Source organism: Homo sapiens, chromosome 11, assembly GCF_000001405.40.
Source record: "Homo sapiens chromosome 11, GRCh38.p14 Primary Assembly".
Lineage (NCBI taxonomy): Eukaryota > Metazoa > Chordata > Mammalia > Primates > Hominidae > Homo > Homo sapiens.
The window spans coordinates 16,012,554-16,022,650 of record NC_000011.10 but is presented as its reverse complement, the minus strand read 5'-3'; the positions used below and the strand labels follow the sequence as shown (position 1 = coordinate 16,022,650).

At 37.1% G+C, this 10,097-nt stretch overlaps 1 protein-coding gene across 6 annotated transcripts in view; it reads left to right on the top strand.

Moving 5' to 3' along the window:
* SOX6 (SRY-box transcription factor 6) overlaps window positions 1–10,097 on the top strand; it is a 772,029-nt gene that overhangs the window by 715,827 nt on the left and 46,105 nt on the right. For all 6 annotated transcript variants that reach the window (NM_001367872.1, NM_033326.3, NM_001145811.2 and 3 more), the window contains one exon: window positions 7,601–7,709. In NM_001367872.1, the coding sequence (NP_001354801.1) occupies window positions 7,601–7,709 (109 nt within the window). The remainder of the gene's footprint in view (window positions 1–7,600; window positions 7,710–10,097) is intronic.

The window sequence follows — 10,097 nt, the reverse complement described above, 5'->3', positions numbered from 1 at the left end:
ACCTGAGGTCAGGAGTTCAAAACCAGCCTGGCCAACATGGTGAAACCCCGTCTCTGCTAAAAATACAAAAAAGTTAGCCGGGTGTAGTGGTGTGCACTGTAATCCCAGCTACTTGGGAGGCTGAGGTAGGAGAATTGCTTGAATCTGGGAGGCAGAGGTTGCAGTGAGCCGAGATCATGCCACTGCACTCCAGCCTGGGCAATAGAATGAGACTCTGTCAAAAGAAAGAGAGAAAGAGAAAGAGAGAGAGAGAGAGAGAGGAAGGGAGGGAGGGAGGAAGGAAGGAAGGAAGGAAGGAAGGAAGGAAGGAAGGAAGGAAAGAAGGAAGGAAGGAAGGAAGGAAAAACAAAGCATCTTTGGTTATGTATTGTTCTATTGTTGATACAGGAGAAAGGATATTGACCTTTGGATAAGGACACTGTCATCGTAGTTTAGCTTTGAGATACTTAGCAACATTAAGTAATATCTTTAACAGAAGTGGATATGTTATGAGTTGCTGTATTTTTTGCAAAGCACTCACATGTATAATCTCTCATTTAATCATTAAGCCCTTGTGGCATGAGCATTGTCTATTCCATTTTACAAAGGGGGGAACAGGCTCAGAGAGATCACATGGTAATCTAGAGTTATTATTCAAAATTCACCCCAGTACAAATACATATCTAAATTTTGATTAAATGACTTAACCCATATAAAAATTCTTTTTGAACCTCACCTTCTTCTGGTTGATAACAATAGTATTTTCTCTGTAGTATTGGTATGAGATTAAAGGAAGTACTCATTGGAAAGGGCTTTGCACATTGTGGATGATCAGTGGGTGGCATTCTTCCCTGCTTCTACACCAGTAGATATATTTATGCTGTGATGGCAAACACAGTTGGAAAACAGCAGTTAGTCCGTAACTAATTCTTAAGTGCTAGCACAATTTTGGTGTTAAAAATGTATGAGAAACTAGACAAATTAATAGCTTTAGCTGAAAAAATATTATTTAAAAATGAGGTTCAATAATGAACCTCATTTCCTCCAGCCAAAGTCTATATTATCATGATTACTTACTCTAGAAACATCACAATGTCACTAGGAAAGTAAGTCCTATACCTCTAAAATAATTCCCTCAAAATATAATCACCTTTAAAAGTACATGTGGTTGCTTTCCAGTGTAAAGCCTACATTTTTGATCATTCATTAAATTACTAAATGCATAATAAAGGATCTAAAATAAAGTATAACAAAGTGACAGTGTTTGTTAAGTCAATAAAAAGGAAACCACATGTCTGGTTAAGTGATGTTTCTGGAGAATCACAGCATGGCAAGATACGTCTAGAACAAGGAATTAAAGAAAGTCATTCAGAGTAAGAGACAGAATATCTCTTAGCATTGTACTTAGCATTGTCTTGCTTTCAAAACAAAACAAACCTTTTATTTTGAAATGTGTACTTCTTTTTAAGCCAAGCATCTATGATATGTAGTATCTTCTTTTGCCAGAGTTTTGCGAAGACTTCACAAAGATGGATTGTATTAATCTGCAGAAATTCCAAGTTAAACTCAAAATATCTTTTTCACATTAAATTATATAATCAAATTGCATTTTTCTATTGTGCTCTTCTAAAATTGCTTATTTACCTCTTTTATAAAATATTTAAGGTGTTTTTCTGAATTTCCTTGTTTTGATTATTATTGCCCTTTTAGATACTTGTGCAGCATGTTTTTGATTTATGTGGCTAGATTAGTTATGTGGCCTTATATAAACCTGCAAGTATTTATGAACACTAATACTAAGTGTTCTGTGAGATATATAGAAAAGGTCTAAGATACAATCTCTGGCTTGAAAAATCTTTTGATGTTGTCGAGGGAGACTTGGTGGTGCACATGAACCAAAAGTCCGATTCTTTAACATAGTATGTAACTAGGGGCTAATTACGTAGGCAAAACTAAGACTTTTTGTATAGCAGAGAGTAGGTAGATCAGAGAGTTTATAGAGTTCATGGAAAACTTGGGTTTTTCCATATGAATAGGATTTGGCGAAGGAGAAACGAGAAGGAAGGATGATCGTGGTATTATTATTGAAAGGCAAGTCACTGCCAACCTCAACCAGAGGATATGTGACAGGAGAACTGTAGAAAATTGAGTTTAAAAAGGTGTGTGGGGAGCAGTGTATGAAAGATCTTGAAAACCATGTAGAGGAGCTTGGAGGAAATGCAGTAGACATGGGAAGCCACGGAAGGTTTTGAATCAGAGACATGAAGTAGAACTCTGTGAAGAGTGTGAGTAGAAGGACTGGGGAGGACAGTGCCAAGGATCAGGCAGATCAGAAAGGAGGCTGCAGCAGTGAGATAGGTGTGTGGGCATGAAGACATGTGCTGGGGTAGTTAGTGATGGCAGGAGGGCATTGAGAGAGGGTTGAGGGCAAGAGGCTATGTGGAAGAAAAATCAGCAAGCCTGGATCATCGCCTGGACAGAGAAGGGCAAGAAAAGCAGTGAGACAAATCACACTGACCCCTCAGCACCAATGTGAACACAGGAAAGGAGGGGAAGCTGGGTAAAGAGAAAGCTGCTTTTGCAGGGGAGTCTTTACTTTCAGTTTAGGAAAGAGTTTTCCTGGGTTGGAAATACATCAAAATACACAAATGGAAATCAAACTTTCATAAAAATTGAAGCTAAGAGCTAGGATGAAAACGACAAGACTTATTTAGCTTCCACTCAATAACCTAGACATAGCTGAAACTCTGAGGATAAGATATCATCTCAGAATATTGTCATGGCCTTAGAGAACTTTTATTTATAATACATATATTTGTTATTTTTCTTAGAAAATTCTGCGTCAGGAATACACACAAAACACGATTAGTGGGGCTGTAGTATTAACCTTCCCTGCAAAATTCCTTATCATTCCACATTTGAAAGATTTTTAAGTCTTTAATATTTAAATATGTATTTTAGGATGCAACAACAAAATCCTTATTTACCTAAGAAAGAATCATACCAGAATCCCCATGTAGAAATTAGGTGTTTCTAAATCCATAATTATATGAGCATAGAAATTATTTACTGTCTTATATATACATAAATAGAGTATTTGGCAATTAGTTCATAACACAGATTTAGGTTTATTTAAGAGAGTCAATGTAGAGAGTATCATAATTATAATGCATTTTACACATAAAAATAACATGAGATAATCATTTTTTACCTGTATTAGCTATGCTATAGATAATGGCCCCTTAGTTGTATGTTCCATGGCTGCCGTGAATGATCCCCCATATTCAGACACTCCTTAGAAATGAGCTTTTGAATAAAGGTTAGTAAAGTACCTCTCATTCAGACCATTGGAATGAAATATACCACATCATTGACCAGACGTGTACTTAAATGAAATATATTTGTTTGTAAAGCAGCAAACAAAAAACCTCTCAGCGTGTGCCATTTTCCACTTCAGTTTGTGGCAAAGGGGACCATGTTGAAATAATTTGAGGCCTGGTACACACTGGTCAGTCTTGGTAATGCAGAAGGGAGGGACCCAGTGCATTATTACATTTCACGTGTTGTTTTTCAGGAGATGGCTGCAATCAGTCACTTCGCATATGGTTTGAAAAAGGCTTGTCTCTCTGGCAAGCAAACTGTTATTTAAGTACACAATCCACTCTACTACTGAAACAGTTTTGCCAAACTTATCCAAGTATTCTCACATGCTTAAAGATGGTATAAATATCATTTATTGCTAGCCGTTTTCTTCAGACTATATGGAATGTCTTCCTGCTGCCTGATCTAAGTGTCCCAGTTTACATTATGGTCTTTACTGCCTCTGTTTGATGGAGTGATCAGTAAAAATTTAATGACACTATAAAATAATAAAAATGTCATTAATTTACCACGGATCTTGGATGCAGTGGTTGTAAAGTTACATTAATAAACAGAATATTTTTTACAACAAAAAGCATTGTTACGTGGGAACGTATAAATAACACACATAAATTTAAGAGCAATTTTACTGTTAGCACACACATTATTATGGAATAGCCAATAAGTGTATAAAACATAGTATATAAAATTTTATTAAAATATACTGTGCACATCAAAAATTCAGCTTTTATCTAAGTGCAAAGAAAAGCCATTATTGTGTGCTTACTGTTTCATTGCTGTTCTTTCCCCAGATCACAATTTTACATTTGATGCCAGTAAGAGGAAGTTGATTTTTTTCCTAGATGAAAACAAACCTCTGTTCTTTTAGTTACCCCAAATTCATTCTCTCTCTCCACCCATGCAAAGACAAAATTGATCAATCTTGCCATGGTAGGGAGGGAAAAGTTGCTAATTTAATGCAAAGTTAAAAATAATGCCCGAAGAGTTGAATGGTTTGTTCAGTGACTCTGGAAATTAGGGATAATAATACAGCAGTCTATCTGTCATCAGTGAGGCTGCCCCGTCATTGACTCTGATAATACGTGAAGATGATGGATGCTACCGTCTTGTGGCTTGTAACATTTAACATTCATCAGCTCTCACTAAAGGGGGCTTTATCATTTAAATATCTTTATTTAATATGCAACATCTACCTCATACATCATAATTTCAAAGCACTTAGAGAGCCAACAGTCCTACAACACAGCAGAGCTGACTTTAATTTTTTTCAATAACTTTTATGTTGCCTGCATGTTTGTGACTGACAATGCATAAGTAAGTGTCTGATCACATTGCTGCATGTAAAATCCACTGTCAACATGAAGATGGGGCAGTTTTCCTGGAAGGGGTGGGATTAAATTAGCATTGAGGTATTTTGCTTATATCTCCAACATATCTTACTTGGGAGGTATGTATATGGTGAGAGCTAGTTCAAGTGTGTGGAAATTTGGACTTAAGAACTTGCCACCCACAGTCTATATTTGTTCCATATAGGGGCATGCTCATGGATGCTTAATGACAGAAGTTTAAGCTTGTTGGAACCAAAGTATCTTTATACTTCTCTCTGTGCCCATGTCCACATCCTGTATTTACTAGGCTCATGTTCAACCTCACTGGTAAAATCTTTGCTTAGCTCAGCTGCCCAGACGTAACTTGTAGACATCAGGCCCTCTTATCTTATGGTTATGTGGCTGGCAAATAAATATTCTGAGCTATTCTTTGAAGAAAAGAACGAAATCTTCTGGGAGACTAGGTGGAAATTTATATGAAATGGCATGGCTTTGCAGGGTCCTTCTTTAATCTCAAACACAAGTGCTTAATATTACCAAATCTAAAATGCAACCCACTGCCCAAAACAATTTCTATCATTGATTTATTTTCTTCCTATTTAACAAGTGTTTCATGGGATATTCTTCCTTGACTTCTACTCTGTCAAAATATTGATATTTTAAAGGGAAAGTATCTCTGCAGAAGATTTTTTTTTCAATGAAGTTAGAAAAATGTATGACTTCAAAGACACTGTGAATGTGTTGTTGAATGTTCTGAATGTTTTTTGTTATGATTAAAAACAAGCTGATACTACTGAATTGTGAGTGCACTTCATTTTTTATAAAAGAAAAGATATTATCATCATGTAAGCTTTGTTGTCTTAGGATTTTACAAACCATGGCATGTAATTTTCCCTCTTCTCCTTCCTTGTCAAAATATTGATATTCTTTCAGGAACTTTATTTTATTTTATTTTATTTTACTGAGAATATTTTCCAGTAAAATCAAAGAGAATGAGTGACTAGAAAGATACTTGAAATATGCATATTGATAGATAGCACGGTCTGTTGATTTTCAGAGAAAGTTGTTTTTCCTCCTATGAAAATACAGTTAAAGGTTGTTCTTCCAAGAAGATTGCAGGTGTCACATCAAAACTCCTTTTGCATTTAACATAGGGAAAGCATTCACATGCAAATATTTGAAATGCGAAACAATGTGATAAAACAAAGGTTGAATATTTTGCTTTCCCTGGTACTACTCATCTCCACTTTAATTCTTTTTCTTTACATCATGACAACCAAAGTGCTACTCAAAAATAGAAATTGGCTGATTAAAAGCAGCTGTCCTTTCCCTGACTGCGTCTGAAGCTCCCACAAGGCTTATAGTTGCTTTTTGTTGTGTCCTGCATCTGGGTTAATTTGTTCTTGTGCACCAGTATTTTCACATAGGAAGATATTAGGGAACCATACTTAACTTGGTTTTTATTTTCATTCTGTTTTTTATGAGAGTCATATTTCAGAGGTTTCCCTACATACTGCTATTTAAACTAGTGAGTATTACCCAGTTAGGGAAACTCGTGATTGTAATTTTTGTTGCAAATCTTTCATAGAAATGGTGTAGATTAAAGCAAGGTTTATGCTGTGTTTTCTTCCAACACAGATTTCAACATATTCCATGACGAAGGGGAACTGGAAGACTTCCTGCACAATTTGACTGATGGGAATTAATTATAGAAATATAATGATATTCAAAAATAATCATATTAGAAAGCACAAATGTAGTCAGGCTGTACAAATGAGGCAGAGACTCTATCAAGTAATTGTATGTTTGCTCTTTAAGAATATTTCCAAGTTTCTAAACATCTTACAGAAGAGAACACTCAGAGTGTTTCCATCTAATGCCGAACATGCTCAGTACAGAACTAGGTCATTGAACAATAGACTGAACAGCAATCAGCACTCTACTGCTGCATAATGCATTAAGTATAACATGCAGAAACCATTCCCGGAGCTGGAAGCTGCTATTTCATGTCTGTAAATTCAAGCTGACATGACATTTAATATTGTTTCATAGTAATGAACAACAAGGTTTCATTCATTCATAAGCACAACACAAAGCCAAGTTTGAGTCAGGAGAGTAGTGAGGAGACGAGAGGGGGACATGAGCTGTTTTTCTGCAGACAAGAACACCATATTAATGATGGTCAATGAGCCCCTCTGCTACTGATCCAGAGAGCTGCAGAGGGAGTGTTCACTGTGGTGCTTCAGACTCCTACTCCTAGAAGAACTGGTGAACAAGTAAAACATCTCTGGGTTTCCCTCCTAAAGCAGCAGGGGTATTTAACTTTCCTGGCTCCATGGCTGGCTAGGAGTGATGTCCTCCTTTTCAGTTCCCAGAAAATCACAGTTGAAATTCTGAGACAAAATAGTAGTATCAATCATCTTCTGGTTGGCCTGGTTTGAAATATTTGTTTTTGAAATCCTCGTGCATAAAATTCTGATTTGTATTTCCCCAGGAATACCAATGCAAACTATGATCTCTAAATGAGAAAATTCCTCTCCCATTAAATTGAGCCGTGTATTTTAATAAGAACTGCTCTTTCAGGTTTTTGCATTGTTGGCTCAACCCTCTCTATTGCGTTGTTTTTAGATTACTGGAGCAAATCCGACAGAGAGAAGATATGCATAGAAGCTCTGGCAGGTTCCCTGTCACAGCTTTCCTTTCCCTACAGGTACTATGGTCTAGATGCTGTCAGTGCTGTCCATGTCACAAACAGCTTTCAACGGAATCTTCCTGAAAGATTTTCAGAGTCCACATTGGTCAGAAATGATATTTTTGAATTCACCTTTTGGCCATTAAGCAAGATAGAAACTGGAAGGAAATGGTGGCTGTTTTGGAAACTAGAATAAGCCTCTGATTATTTGTTCCTCTAGGAAAGAACGCGCTTTGAGAATTTGGGGCCCCAGTTAACGGGAAAGTCAAATGAAGATGGAAAACTGGGCCCAGGTGTCATCGACCTTACTCGGCCAGAAGATGCAGAGGGTGAGTGGCTTTTCTCTAGTTCTTTTCTGCTGCTCCATGTGTTTCCAAATGTGTGTCTGAGCTAGATATAGGATCTTTATAGTTTTTCATAGGAGTCATCACTAGATTTCTTAGGCAAAGCAAAGGAAATGTCACTCTTCAACTACGTATGTATGTAAGTTATGTTGTGCATTATAGTAGAAGACTTTAAGAAGCAGTTAGATCTTACATTACCGAATACTTAGCAATCCAAGTACTTCAAGTTACCATCAAAGTTTTAAAATAAAAGGATCCTCTACATTTCAATGAACAGCAGAATTCTGTGTTTCATCCATCTCACTGCATTTGTATTTAAAAAGGGAAAACTTAGAAAGGAGGACTTTTAAATATTATTTTATCTTTCATTGACAAGTAATAATTGTATATATTTGTGGGGCATAAAGTGATTTTGATACATGTATACATTGTGGAATGATCAAATCAGAATATTTAGCATATCCAAATCAAGTGATTCCCAGGTACAATCAAACCATTTTGGGGATTAAATGATAGTTTGCAGCAGTTTTAGCATAAACTTAATAATTGTTTGGGGAAGGCCCAGCCTGTGCCTATGCACTAACCATCACTAACGTCTTTCAGAAGTCTGGGTGGAAAGACCAGCCTTCCTCTCAGAATGTTTACCCGCACCAATATCAATGCCTGTTCGCTTCTTTTCCCTTTTTGTTTGTTTGTTTTAAATGCACAAGCAGCACATCAGCAGAAATTGCTCCCCAGAGTCTGGGTACAATTTATGGGTTAGGTCAGCACTTCAGTAGTAATGTTGCCTGGTTATTTACTGTGTCATCACAGAGTAGAGACTGGTTTTCCCATTAGCTGTTCCTTTGGCAGAATCTGTCCCACCAGTCAGGGAAGATTAATTTGTTCTCTTCGGAGTAACATGATACTTCACCCATCTCAGGTCCCAGCTAAAGTCCTTCTTTAGCTTAAGGGGAAGAATCTCACTAGTATCCCTTTAACTGGCAGGGTTTCTTCCAGGACCCTAAAATCCCTCGAAAACACATGAAGACACTTCATAGCAGCATCTAAACTGGGCATGGCTTTTAGTGAGAGCCTGGGGCCATCCCAGGCAGCCCAGAAATCCCTGGAATGAGGACTCAGAGATGAATAGTATTAGACATTAGGAAGCCCTTCAGAAATTTTTCAGAATGCTAATTTTTCATACTAGTAGGAAAGACTAATGTTTGATGATAGTTTGGGAGACCAGGTGTTAAAATAAATTCTGATTAGGATGTATATGTGTCTATGGGAGTAAAGAGGGAGGGAGGGAGGGGAAGAGAAGAGAAAGGAAGGAAAGGAACGAAGAAGAGGGAGGATAGATAGGAAGGGAGGCATAAAGATTACTCAAAACCAGAAATATGCTTGCTGTCTTCCTTGAAGAATGTGTATCAACAGCCCATTATTTTCATAGGCACTTAAAAGTGCAGGTTTTCCACCGATAAGGGTTGAGGTTCCTCTGCCTAGGGAGCCAGGAAGTCCAAATGATGTTACTTGCACAGTTAACCATCCGAGTGCAACACAGAGATTGTGGCTGGCCTAAAAGCCTGTGTGGAAGTGTTTCAGGTCTGGCCCATCTCAATTTTATTGGGAGATTGTACTGCAGAGTACCTAAATTGTTGACCATATGTAATTAAATAAATATTTTTCATTACTTTGGAGTATTCAGTCTGTTTATTTGACAACAGACTGGTAGTTACAGAGCTCTGTCACCTTACCCGCGCTGTCAAAGACTTTTCTAATTTGTCATTCACACTTTTTCATTTGCTTCCTTAACTGCATATTTGGTGTAAATATAGTCAGTTATCTCTCAGTAATGTCATTACCTAGTTAGTGATATCATGTGCTTGGTAAGTTAAAAATCATGGTCAGAGTTATTAACTATATAAGAGGAAAAAGTTAAAAATTTAACTCTAGAGAAACATACTGCATATAAATATTTTTGGATATTCTATTCAATGCCTAGATTGTCTAGATTGAAACCAATTTCCCTGGCTGTTTTGTTTTTAGAAAACTTTTTTTATCAAGTGTTTATATACTAGAGGATGTCTTACGCCTTTTACCCACATTTTCTCATTTAATCCTTATACACATTGTGAAGAAGGTATTACTTTTTCCATTTTACAGGTGAGAAAACTGAGGCTGAGAATAATTAAATTACTCGCTATGAGCCACATATTAAGGGTAGAGCTGAGATTCTCCCCAGCAGCCTGCCATACTGCCCCCACTGTTTATGCAGAAACACGTGGTCCCTTCATTTTTCTGAACAAACTCCTTGTGACCTTCCTCAGTACAGCCCATTTCCTCTGCCCTAAATATAGCAAGTCATGCCATACACCAGCTCTCATGTTACTC